The sequence below is a fragment of the Homo sapiens genome, chromosome 4 (assembly GCF_000001405.40).
Source record: "Homo sapiens chromosome 4, GRCh38.p14 Primary Assembly".
In the NCBI taxonomy this organism is placed as follows: Eukaryota; Metazoa; Chordata; class Mammalia; order Primates; family Hominidae; genus Homo; species Homo sapiens.
The window spans coordinates 25,010,940-25,023,971 of NC_000004.12; the positions used below are offsets into that span (position 1 = coordinate 25,010,940).

At 42.8% G+C, this 13,032-nt stretch overlaps 1 protein-coding gene and 1 long non-coding RNA gene across 4 annotated transcripts in view; one reads left to right on the forward strand and one right to left on the reverse strand.

Moving 5' to 3' along the window:
* Nucleotides 1–13,032, forward strand: part of LOC102723675 (uncharacterized) — a 52,704-nt gene that overhangs the window by 36,740 nt on the left and 2,932 nt on the right. The gene's annotated exons all lie outside the window — the stretch shown is intronic.
* Nucleotides 1–13,032, reverse strand: part of LGI2 (leucine rich repeat LGI family member 2) — a 38,866-nt gene that overhangs the window by 18,859 nt on the left and 6,975 nt on the right. For all 3 annotated transcript variants that reach the window (XM_017008356.2, NM_018176.4, XM_011513850.3), the window contains exons 5-7: nt 8,228–8,299; nt 7,050–7,219; nt 1,396–1,560 (exon numbers count right to left, since the gene is read on the reverse strand). In XM_017008356.2, the coding sequence (XP_016863845.1) occupies nt 1,396–1,560; nt 7,050–7,219; nt 8,228–8,299 (407 nt within the window). The remainder of the gene's footprint in view (nt 1–1,395; nt 1,561–7,049; nt 7,220–8,227; nt 8,300–13,032) is intronic.

Sequence of the window (13,032 nt, forward strand, 5' to 3'; positions counted from 1 at the left end):
GGTGCAGTGGTGTGTGCCTGTAGTCCCAGCTACTTGGGAGGCTGGGGCAGGAGGATCCCTTGAGCCCAGGAGTTCCAGGTTGCAATGAGGCAAGATTACATCACTGCACTCCAGCCTGGGTGACAGAGTAAGAGCCTGTCTCAAAAAAAAAAAAAATCAAAAAAACCAAAAAACAGAAAACAGCAAAGCTTCACTCTGTTCCCATCTCCTACCAGAGAGGAGGAGAAAAGGCAGAGAGACCAGCTCATCCTCCCCTCCCCTATCTTCCATGTCAGGACAAAGGGGGAAGCACAAAACCACGTGGACATGGACTCACTTCCTCATCTCCCTTGTTCTTGGCTTCCACAGCAGGTTCACCTGTGCTACTCTGTGCTGAGTCTGCACTTCCAAGAGCGTTACTCTCCGGAAGGTGAGCTCAGCACGGGGAGGCCAGATGGCCCGACGGTGGCCAGCTCATCTGAAATGGCATCCTCGGAGCATCCGTTGTACATCTCACACCGAGATACACTGTGAGATAAGGCTCATTAGCAGCTCTCCCTGCCTCCCCACATCCCTGTACCTGCTGGGAAGCCACTTGGTGCTTGGGAGACTCTTAGGAGCCTCCCAACCCAGAAATTCTACCTGAATATGCTTCTTGCTACAACAGTAAAACGCTGCTCTAAGGCCACATCAGGAACCTCTAAAGGAAACCCTCTCCTGGGGTGATAATTAGACCTTTGTGGCACTGTTTACACAGTATTGTTATCAGATTGCACGTTGATAAATGAGGAGTCTTTCAAAGGTTATTTCAAAAGCAAGTAGACAGTCCACATTCAGTAGGGCTAAGGCACTGGGATCCCATGACGGCACTGAAAGAAGCGTTAACTAATTCATATCCCAAATGCCTAATTTAGGGATCCATTTATTCTTATTTCGTATGTACTTACTAAAAGAAAGCAGTGATCACTAGGACTTAGCAAAGGGCACTAGGAACAAACTATAGGGTATGTGTGTGTGTGTGTTTGTTAGCATATTGGTTAACAATCAGCTTAATGAAAGTCAAAGCATCATTTAGCTGCTACAAAGCTGGTGCAGACTTGGGCTCCCATACTGCTCAGGACAAGGGATTCTCAGTGTGACTTCTCACCACTACTAGAAAATGCCTCCCACCACATGCAACCCGTAAATGATCATCAATAATAAGCAGGATCACTACCTGAGGTTTCCACTCTCTCAGTAATGGACCACACCAAGACAAAAACTGGAGAGACCCAGAGGGAAGGCTGGGACGTGTTCCCCAGCTCTAACCAGGTTAGAGAGCCGAGCTCTCCCTCAATACAGAGGACATTCCTCCTCCCGCGGGCTTGCCGCAATGCTGAAATTAGTTCAACACATCTGATCAAAGCCACAACACACCTGTAATGTTGTCATAGCTCCGGAAATTCATTTCAATGTGGTCCCACTCCAGCACCATGCAGTTCTCCATGCTGGGCTGCGCGATGGCCACGTACACATCGTTCTTGGAGTTGAACGTATCCACTGAAACCGACTGGTAGGGTAAAGTCTGATGAACAACAAAATCTGGGGATGGGTGTTTAAAAAGAAAAGCGTTCATAAAATCTCCTGTAGGGATTATCAACCACCATCACCGTTCCATCATCACATCAGCTCTGAAAAGGACTGGGGAGGAGGAGGAGGATAGGAGAGATGCAACACAAACATCACAGCGTATTTTACTCTGGGACATTCCAGAAAGAGTCCTGGCTTGCGCAGGATTATCAGACAGAATGCACAGTTTCTAGTACAGCTTCCTGTGGAGAAACAGCTTCCCGAGTTTGGCTAAAGGATCTCAGAGTTTTAAACATATTTGGTGAGACTTGGCTTTCAAAGTGGTAAGACGGACAGGACGCTGCACAGCAACATTCTCAAAACTGCCGTGCAAATCACTCTGTGACAAGCGGGGGCTGCGGTCCAGTGAGTTTGGAAAATGCTGTACTTCCAGCTCTCTCAGAACAGCCCCTGAAGGGAAGAAGTCTGTTTTTTGTTTGATATGGTGCTTCTCAAACTTACCTGACCCTTTATCTCCAGTTCTTATAAACCCTAGCTCGGGATTACCTGTCAGCAGACAACCCCACTGCACGTTCAGAATGAATGGTACACTCCCCAAATGGTACACTGAACATTGGAAACCAAACCAAACCCTCTGCTATGGTCTTAGGGGTATTATGGTTTCTACCCACTTAGCCTAGCACGAAGTGAGTGCTCAATACATGTTACCTTTTAGAGGTGCCCCTCCCTTCATTCTGGGGGCAGAGTAGGTGCTTACTGAATCCTTGTTGGCTAAACCACTGTGAGGCGGCTGGCCTTGCTTCTCAGCCCACTCTAAAGACTACAGGGGAGGGGACGGAGGCTGAGTGGTATATGAAGATGTGGGGAGAAGGAGGAGAAAAGAGGCTGCCTCTGCAGCCCAACAGGCAGGAGGTGACTGAGGGAGAGTGTGGACAAGTGGCTCTAGTGGACGGGGTACCTTCCCATCCCCAAGTCCAGAGCAGAACATCCTGGTGAAGGGCTTCTGATTCACGATTATTTCAAAAGCAAGTAGACAGTCCATATTTAGTAGGGCTAAGGCACTGGGATCCCATGACGGCACTGAAAGAAGCACTTTTAGTTACATGACCTTTGGCAAGACAATTGAGCCTGAGGTTCTTTTTTCACCTGTAAAATGAAGGTGGTGTCTATTTCATGAGGTTGCCATAAAGACTAAATGCAAGGTACATGTAAGTATATATTGCAGTGCTATGGTGATCACTCAGTAGTTGACATATGCAACAATGATAGTATTCAGTTGCCTACTTGAAGACTTAGGGAAGAGTCATGGCTCTCCCTCAATCCCCTCCCACCACCAAAATAATAGTTGCTTGGTCAAAGATAAATAAACAGAAAAAAGTGAACCTCTGTTCACTCCTGTTGGCACTAGCAGTGCCAACAGTGTAGAAGCCAGAAAGCGTGTGTTCACTGCACAAGACTTTGCTGGTTTCTGTGTTCACATGTAGACAGAGAAAGGGGAAATGGCAGCAGTCATCATGTGCTCCCTTTTCTGGGGATATAAAAAGATTTGGAGAATACAGCTGCTTTCTTTTAATTACAACCAAGATGGCTATAAACTCCTCTCCTACATCTCCGGTTGCATTCGACTACTCCGAGTCTGCCAAAAGTTCTAAGCACTCCCGTGACGCCCATAACTCACTCACCTCCTCCCTCCCATTAGCCTCCCTACTGCACTCTGAATTCTCAGAAACATGAGCATTTGCTTAAAAAGGCAGGCTGTTTAAAGTGTAGACTAGAAAGTTTCTGTTTTTATTGAAGAATCCCAGGATGAAAAGGAGTTGTCACAGTGCAGAGCATTTTACAAATCTAGCCTGTCGTGGCCCTGTTTTAATCTATTTTCCCCATATAGTGGTTTCATAATATTTCCTACATACTGATTATCTGGCATGACACAGATTGTTAAATCATTTGAATTATAAATGTAACTCTTAATAGAAGAACCCACCCCCGCCCCCGCCAAAAAAAAGGAAGGAGAAGGAGGAAGAAGAGGAAGAGAAGGAAAAAAGAAGAACAGGGCCAGGCAAGATAGGCAAGATGGCTTGTGCCTGTAATCCTGGCAGCTTGGGAGGCCAAGGCAGGACTGCTTGAGGCCAGGAGTTTGAGACCAGACTAGCTAACATAGCAAGACCTTCTCTTTACTAAAAATTAAGAAAAATTAGCTGGGCATGATGGTGCATGCCTGTAGTCCCAGCTGCTCTGGAGGCTGAGGTGGAAGGATCGATTGAGCCCAGGAGTCTGAGGTTGCAGTGAGCTATGATTGTGCCACTGCACTCTAGCCTGGATGACAGAGCAAGACCTTGTCTCAAAAAAAAAAAAAAAAAAAAAAAAGAGAGAGAGAGAGAGAGAATGAAAAGAAAATGATTGATGCATATATATTTGTGGGTATCAGAGGACCAGAGGAATTTAAATATCTTCTCCCACCCCCAATTAAATTTACTTCTCACAAACAGCAAAAGCACATTCTTGTGGAAAGATCTCAGAAATACACATATTGATGTGACATCAATTTACTAGTGTTAAAATATTAATGGCACTCTGCAAAAAGAACTGCCACTTCCATTCACACTGGATTAAGTTCATGATGTCAGTGGGACTCTTACAATTTAGGCCTTTCTCCCAGTGGAATCAACAGATTTTTACATAGCTATTTATAGCACTTGCAGAAAATAAATTATACATGACGCCGATCCTTCTGGGAGAGAAACTGCACATTAATGCATTATTTCTCTGTGCATTTTCATCAGCCCTGAAAAGGGGAAGCTAACAGGACAATTAGAATGCAAAATTCACTTCCTCTAAGGAATTTAGTGAATTACCCACCTAACACAGGGAATCATCGGTAGGTAACAGGGACTTTTGAGGTGGTTAAAAATAGACTTGAAGGGGAGGGTTCAAGAGCTGATTAATGTAAAGACCTGAAACAGCCCAATGGTGGCTTTGTGATATGAATTACACCCCTTGGCCAAGGAATAGAATGGTAACAGTACCTTCCTCTCTCTGGGAAAAAACAGTGAAACAGGAGAAAACTCACCCCTTTTCCGATAATCTGAGTTGAAAAGGAAAACAATCATATTCAGAAAATGTGCTTCTTTCTAAACCTTTGGCAAGAATACGATCACTGTACCATGAACTCTCGACCTTTGGCTTTCCATTTTCCCTCCATCCTCATTTGTTCCCCCGACCCCACGCCCCTACTCCCCATCTAGCTTTTAACGAAGCAACAGAGGCTAAGGTTTGATCTGAACAGAAGACATGAACCCCGAACACTCAAAATTTGTTGACCTAGTTCTTACACAGCGGGGCCTATGTTTGGGGGTGGATCACAACTTTGTTGTACCATTTTTTTCCCGATGGAAGAAACTGTCAGCAAGAGCCTCATCTCTGTTTGTGAGTCTTAAAGGGATAAAACCATAGCACAAAGCCAGAATTATCATCTCCCTCTCACCAGAAAGCCTAGCGCTGACTTTCTAAAGTTTAGTAGGAAGCTTGTTCATGAAGACAAATACTGCATGAGACAGAGAAGGCTCTAAAATGTGTTAAGGCCTCTTGCTACTCCATGTTGGGATGAGGACAGGTTACCTCAGTTCCAAGCTACCACCATTCCAATAACAATTCTCAGAGCCTGGATCACTTTTATAACTATCCTCAGGGCCCTAAGCTCAGAAAATATGTTTTCTTGTAGAAATTATTTCCTATTCCCACGGCCCTATAGCCCATTACTTCCATCAGAGATTAGCAAAGTTTCTCCACGCTATGGCCAGGTGTGAAGAGAACAAGGGAAAATCTGCAAATTTCACCTTGGTGTTTCGAGACCTCTGCAGAGAAAATGGAGAAAAGGTAGTGAGAAGTCTCAGTGAGCTTTAGTTTAGCTTTGGTTTATTCAATTTAATTAAATTTAGCATTTAACGCCAAATAGTCTTGAATGCCACCTTTTGGTGCAAATGTTATCGACTACGACCTCTGATTTATTGTCCTGGCCCTAAAATACAATAAACTAACCTCGTAGTGGCCTCAGCTGACTGTGGGGCACCTGTCAATTACACAGCTGAGTAAGCCCCTATTTGATGATGAAAGGAAAAGTCATTTCTGTGAGATTGCAGGTTGTCTATCAGAAAAGAATAGAACTTGCAGGGTCCCTTATTTACAAACAAAGATACCTAGAAATGATCTTTACTTTCTGGGTTTTTGTTTATTTGTTGGAAGGTGGTAGCGGGGACTGGCCTAAATATGATATTTTGTTCTTGGAGTTTTGGTGTCTTTTGAGTTTCTGTAACTATTTTCTGTTTCTCATTCCTGCTGCTTCTCCTGACATGACTTGAGGCTTTGTAGATATCAGCTCTCAGCCTGAATGTTTATTTTTATAAATTGGGTAAGCAGGTTTCATACAGCGGCCTGATCCTCCTCTCTCTGGCTTTAGAAGCTGTAGAAACCCCACCTAAGCCTTTCCAATGGAGATACTCACCAATACCTTTGGCCCCATGTTGTGACAGTGGAGGCAGTTAGTATTTTGGTTTTATCTTATAACCTGAAAAATGTATAAACTGAAAGTTTGTGGCAGGCCCTGGAAAACAAAATCAAGCTTTCTTTACATTTTTCCCTCGATATGAGCTGTTTCCTTTTGATAACTAGTTGTTAACTTTTATTTTCTATTTTGCCATTGGTTATAATTTACCTAGTTATCTCTTCTTACATGGGACTCTGAAAGTCATTTGTGGGTTTAAAAGTCTGGTGTTTGGGCCAGGCGCAGTGGTTCATACCTGTAATCCCAGCACTTTGGGAGGCCAAGGTGGGCGGATGATGAGATCAGGAGATCGAGACCATCCTGGCCAACATGGTGAAACCCCGTCTCTACTAAAAATACAAAAATTAGCCGGGTGTGGTGGTGCACACCTGTAATGTCAGCTGCTCAGGAGGCTGAGGCAGGAGAATCGCTTGAACCCAGGAGGTGGAGATTGCAGTGAGTTGAGATCACGCCACTACACTCCAGCCTGGGCGACAGAGTAAGACTCTGCCTCAAAAAAAAAAAAAAAAAAAAAAAAAAAATTCTGATGTTTGTTAGTTAAATGTCCAATGAACATCTTCCTAAAGCAAAAGAACAGTCTCAACCGAGTAATCTAAGCCTCCCTGCAGTGGCCTTCTATGAAACCTAGATTGATTTGAAAATGTTCTCCTGCCAAACCCACAAGTTTATACTTTGACTTAAGAAAATGAAACACTTACAGAAATTTGAATTTCGTAAAGAAGCAAAAATAAAGCCAGGGCAGTTAACAAAAATTCTCCCAAACTTTTGAGATATTTTCCTTACCACATCGATTCATTTCTTTAGAATGTTTAAAATTTCTCTAAAACAATTTTGATAAACAGTTCTATATTCACTTTTCCCCAGTCTCTGTTGACAGTGTAAAAGAAAGACAAAGAGATTATTCTAAATATCCGTGTCTGATGAGATAGGCTCTGAATACCTGTAGTTGTGCATTCATAGTCAAAGCTGGTCACGTCATTTAGCTTCTTTTCCTGATACTCTGGTGGACCAATACACAGCACATCAGAAACGGTGGAATTTGTCATCTTCAACCACAGGTATAGCCACTTGGCTTTGCAGTCACATTCAAATTTATTACCCCTCAAATCTCTAAAAATCAAAATAAAACACAAACACATACAAAGAGAAATAGATGTGTCTGACATGTTTTGGTAGTAACACGAAACTCCAGAATTATTAACATCCTGATATATTTAAAACCCCCTAAAAATGGAGTTTAAAAACTTTTATAATTAATATCTCCTGTTTCTTGTATCTATCATTGACTTTATTTAATACTCCTCAGCACCTGGGAATTTAACTGAATAACTGTATAATGTCCAGAGAGCTCTCAGCGAGGACATATCATCTCTCCAAATGCTCTCGTCTCCACGCCATGCCAGAAATGGGAGACATATGATAGAAGAGCAGCCCCCAACAGAGGTTCTCATAAACAAAGAGGATATTGTAGGAAGACAGTTTTCACAAACACAATTGAAACTTCAAGCTCTTGTTAAAACTACGTCCAGTAGGCCAGGCACGGTGGCTCATGCCTGTAATTCTAGCACTTTGGGAGGCCAAGGTAGGCAGATCACCTGAGGTTAGGAGTTCGAGACTAGCCTGGCCAACATGGTGAAACCCCGTCTCTACTAAAAATACAAAAATTAGCTGGGGGTAGTGGTGTGCGCCTGTAGTCCCAGCTACTCAGGAGGCTGAGGCAGGAGAATCACTTGAACCCAGGACGCAGAGGTTGTAATGAGTGGAGATCATACCATTTCACTCTAGCCTGGGCAACAGAGCAAGACTACATCTAAAAAAAAAAAAAATACATCCAGTAAGAAGCAATGATAGAAGATAAAGCAGGTGAACGTGCCATCTCAGGGAGGTGATCTCCCACCCAGCAAGTGTGATTTACCATTGGCCTCATGGTGCTAAGTATAAAATGGCAAAATCCAACACAATACAAACTGTATGCTATTTCCCAGGATGCACTACTTTGTTATAGATTTTTAACCACAGCATAAAAGAAATGCATAAAAGAAAGGCGAGAGGGGATTGAAAGACATGATTAACTGGGGCACAATGACAAACACACATAAACTAAATTTCATTACTTACAGTTCAATCAGAGAGTCTAAATCACTGAAGACATCCCTTGGTAGTGCTTTTATGTGGTTATTGGCCAAAGAACTAGAACAAGAAAGTCACATTGCAATGTGATTATTATCTCATGCCCTGTCACTCTCAACTCCCTTCAGATAAAGCTGTTGACTTATAGCACGGCTTTGGTCATCAATACTGAGATAGAGAAATGAGCTTAGTTATGCAAATATAACATAAGAGATGCTGGATTATAATATACATTTTCTTTCTTTTTTTTTTTACAAAAAGCACTTTTTAAGCTCTTTATGTATATTTGCTCAACCTCAGATGGCTTCCCATGTTTCCTGGAATCAAAGCCAAAGTTCCTTCGGTGGCATGCAAGACCCTTTATTGCCTGGCTACCTCCACTCTTGCTTACCTAGGAGACCCCATCTCATCGGTTTCCAACTACTCAGTGGATCTCTGATCTAGCCACACTGGCCTCCTTGCTATTCCTCCAACAGGTGAGGCATGCTCCTACCCTCCAGGCCTCTGAACTTGGTCATCTGCCTGGAATGTTCTTTCCCCAGCTATCCATTTGGAATTCCATTGCCTCCTTTGGGTCTGTCCTCAAGTATCACCACTTCTCAGGCCTCTGCACATCTCCCTTCCCTGTACCACCATCATTTGGTACACTACATATTTTAATTAACTATTTGTTTACTGGCTGTGTATTCCCCCTCTACATAAGCCACATGAGGACAGAGATTATTGTCTGTCTGTCCACTGCTGTATCCCCAGTTCCTAGAACAGTGCCTGGCACACAGCAGGTACTCAGTATATCTTTGCTGAATTGATGTATTAAGCACCAAAGTGTGAGTGATAAAAGAAGATTTACAGTCTTGTCCCAAGAAGTTCCCTAATGGTCCATCTAAGTGAATTCTATTACTCGTGATTCTAAGAAAGGACTCAGTCAATACTCCTTTACATAAAGAGACTCAGCTCTAACCTTTAAGAATAACATAATAAAATCTCAACCGATCAGAATGTGTAGGGAATGATTGACTATGATCAATTTCATTTTCACATTAATAAAGGTTGACCCAAAACCATTTTGCATTTTTGCTCTTGGTGTTAAAGATCATTCTAAGACGTCTTAGTCCACACCCCACCTCCAGGAAATAGAGTAGAATGCACAGCATCAACTCTTTCTCCGATGATTCAGGATTTTGCAGTGCCCTGTCATCATCCTGTGAAGATGAATGTCCACGGTGCAGGGCTGTTGATGTAGAAAGACGTGGAGTGTTGAAATGATGTACACTGAGTTTGTGATTTCCCCAGGCACTGCACTCTAATGTGAGTCAGCCAAGAAACTGATGCCTACTTTTGTTTTCTTTTACACATATGAATGCAAACAGCAAAACACATAAACGACTAACATGTAAGCAATTCAGCCCCAACCAATTTAAGATATCTATGAAATGCATCTTCTGTATCATCATAATGACCCATCCCAGAAGGATGAATTAAAGAAATGACTCTTCCTACCTAGAGTCGGTTAGCTGGACATAGTAGAAAGCTTGGAGCCCAAATATTCTTGCTTCAGGACACCAAGTTAATATGGGGAGACCCACAGTTTCTGAATTATGCCCCTTCCTATCTAGGTGACCACAAATGGATTTAAATAAAATTTCATGTACTCTTTTACCTTTCTTTTCTAAATGAGGTATTTGTACATTTTTAACTGTGTTGGAAAATAGGCTGAATATGTAATCAGACTAAAGCTACTCTGAAAGAGATTTTGGAAATTTTTAAAAGGGGGGTGTTCATTTTGATTTTCTTTCCTGGTCGATGGTCACTTTTTCTGGAAAGTAAAGTACAACAATGTTTTAGCTAATTAACATTATTAGCTAAAAACTTCAGCTAATTGAAAGTTACTGTATTGATATGATAAGTATATACAGAATGGTCAAAGCCAAAAAAAAAAAAAGCAGAGAGTTTAGCAACGTTCCAAGTGTTCAATTTAGATTTCAGAAAGCAGAATTATTTAGATGGATTATTTATCCCACTCACACTAAGTGCTTAACACCTGCCTTTCCACTTCATTTTGTCTACAAATCATGGCACTTACTTTATTTCTAAAACTATTTAACAGTTCCCTGTCCCTTGGGCTTCATGGGACTGCTGGAAACAAATGTTCTAGATTTTAGTTACAGATTGGCACAGGTCCTTCAATGCTTTGAAACCTGATCTATGTCTCTTTTCCTATGCATGTGAGTCTGTAAGCATTGCAAAAGTTCATGAAAGATAAAAATCAGCTGCTTAACTTCAACAAGCAAATTCCAAATAGGAACTTCCGTAAGCACGGGGGTGAACTTTAGAGACCTGGTATCTTCTCTTTTCTTAGAGGTTTTTAGAAGGGGAGGGAGGTGAATTGATTCATTCTTTACACAGTATATTAAATGCTTGAATTACTAAATGCATCTCCTGCCTAGAGGAGTCAACTTTAAAAGTCGCCTGGCCGGGCGCGGTGGCTCACACCTATAATCCCAACACTTTGGGAGGCCGAGGTGGGTGGATCATGAGGTCAGGAGATTGAGACCATCCTGGCTAACACGGTGAAACGCTGTCTCTACTAAAAATACAAAAAATTAGCCAGGCATGGTGGCACACGCCTGTAGTCCCAGCTACTCAAGAGGCTGAGGCAGGAGAATCGCTTGAACTCGCAAGGCTGAGGTTGCAGTGAGCCAAGATTGCACCACTGCACTCCAGCCTAGGTAGCAGAGAGAGATTCCATCTCAAAAAAAAAAAAAAAAAAACAAAGCCACCTGACTTGTCCAGAAGTAGAGCACATATGGGAAATCTAACTCCATTAAGAAGCCATCCATCCATTAGCAAATCAGGAAGTATGTCCTGCTGGCTTAGCCCTGTGCTAGACACTGGGGGAAGAACAGAGCTAAGGGAAGATCACTAAAAGTCCTGCCCTGCAGGAGCTTCCAACGTGCTGGGAGATAAAACGAACACCCAGGCAACAGCACCAACCAGTATGGCCACTGTAGACAGTAAAGTGCTGGCTGCATGAAGCCAATGGCAGGAGGGAAGAGGAAGATGGAGAATGGCTTAACTGGGGAGATAGAACTCAATCTGGACTTTGAAAGAAAAGGCAGATGAGAGAGAGCAAGGGCAGAAGAAACAGCATCCCGGGCAAGGGAAAGGATGTGAGGAAAAGCAGTGGGATGGGGTGGGGGAGCGCCGAAAGCTTGATGTTCTGAAGACACTCAGAGAAATGAGGTTAGAGAGCTGAGGAGAGGCTTGACTTGTAGGCTTGACCGCGGGGTGGTCCTACTCACTAGGATGAGCTAGTTCTTCTCTAACGCATTCCATGCTCGCTGGACCCAAGTGCAGGCAGGACTCCCTCGCTCCCTCTGTGTTTGTGTTCTCTGTGCATAATACCACAGAAAAGGAGGTGCCTCTTGTACACATGTACACATGATAACAAATGAAACAAATGCATAAGCATGCACACAGGAACACAGTTATGTACACTCATGTATATAAGTCCATGCACCCGAGGACACTTTGTACACCTGCACAAAGATATGCAAATACCCGCGCATGATACCTGCTTGTTCACACCCTCCTGCTGATGGAAGAACCACAGCCATCTGAGCAAATGAAAGTTGCCATCTGGGCTAACTCAGCCCGTCACATGGGCTTTGCCTTAGGTTTATAATCTGCCCAGAGCTTTTGCTCAAATATAAAGCCCTAATTCCTGACTTCTGGGAACCAGACTCATCTGGCCACAGCTGTTCCTCTTCAGACACCCACAGCTGTCTCCTTAGTAGACTCTGTCTGGCCACCCAAACTGCCAAAGATACTTGACAGGCCATGGAGGAAGTTGGGACTTAATGCATGGAGGGAAGGAATTATGTTGATGTTGATGATGATGATGATGATGATGATGATGCCAATTATGCCTTGAGCATTTACCATGGGTAATGGACTAGATGCTTTTCAAGCAAGCATTAACCTTTTATGTACAGCAATCCTATGAAATCAGTATAGTTATCCCTATTTTAAGGAGGAGGAAATTGATCTTAGACAGTTAAACAATATTAATAAATCATGGCCTTGAGATTTAAACCCAAGCCTATCCAAGCCTATACGACTCCAAGCCCACAATTGTAGTCTCTACAGGAATTTGGGGATTTGACACTTAGGTTGAATCTGAAAAACAATAAAGGCTTTTATAGGAAGAAATGAAGACCTAGGACATTGTCCGGTATCAACTATGCTGACACAGATGTTTCGGCCTCCCATGTCTGCTCCCTCATCTCCTTACCCGATAGGCTTTAACTTAGGCAGAGCCTCTACTTGTGGGCGTTCCAGAATCAAGTGTTTGCTTGGCCTATTGACAACCCCCTTTGCCAATATCGGGGCTTGATGTGAATGGTTTCCTCATTAGATGACTATGTCCACACTGTACCAGTCAGGGTTACACATGCTGAAGGTACTACCATCCCTGCCCAACACTTCCAGTCAAAACCCTCCAATTTTCCCAACTGTCTTTATGGCAGGCAGGCTGACTACAGAGATGAGACATGTTATCTTACTCAAACTCAAAATATCTATCATGCAAATGGGACCTGGTTCCTGGCTAACGAATTACTCCTACCAAGATAATGAGCATTTTTACATTTTCATAAACACAGCCACTATTTTTTCTAGTTTTATAAATTTTATACATTTGCTAAGTGTGTGTACTTGCTTCATTTTTATATGCCAGTTTCAAATCAATTTCTTTAATTTTATCTCCAGAAAGCTCTTAAAGAAGCAGAGAG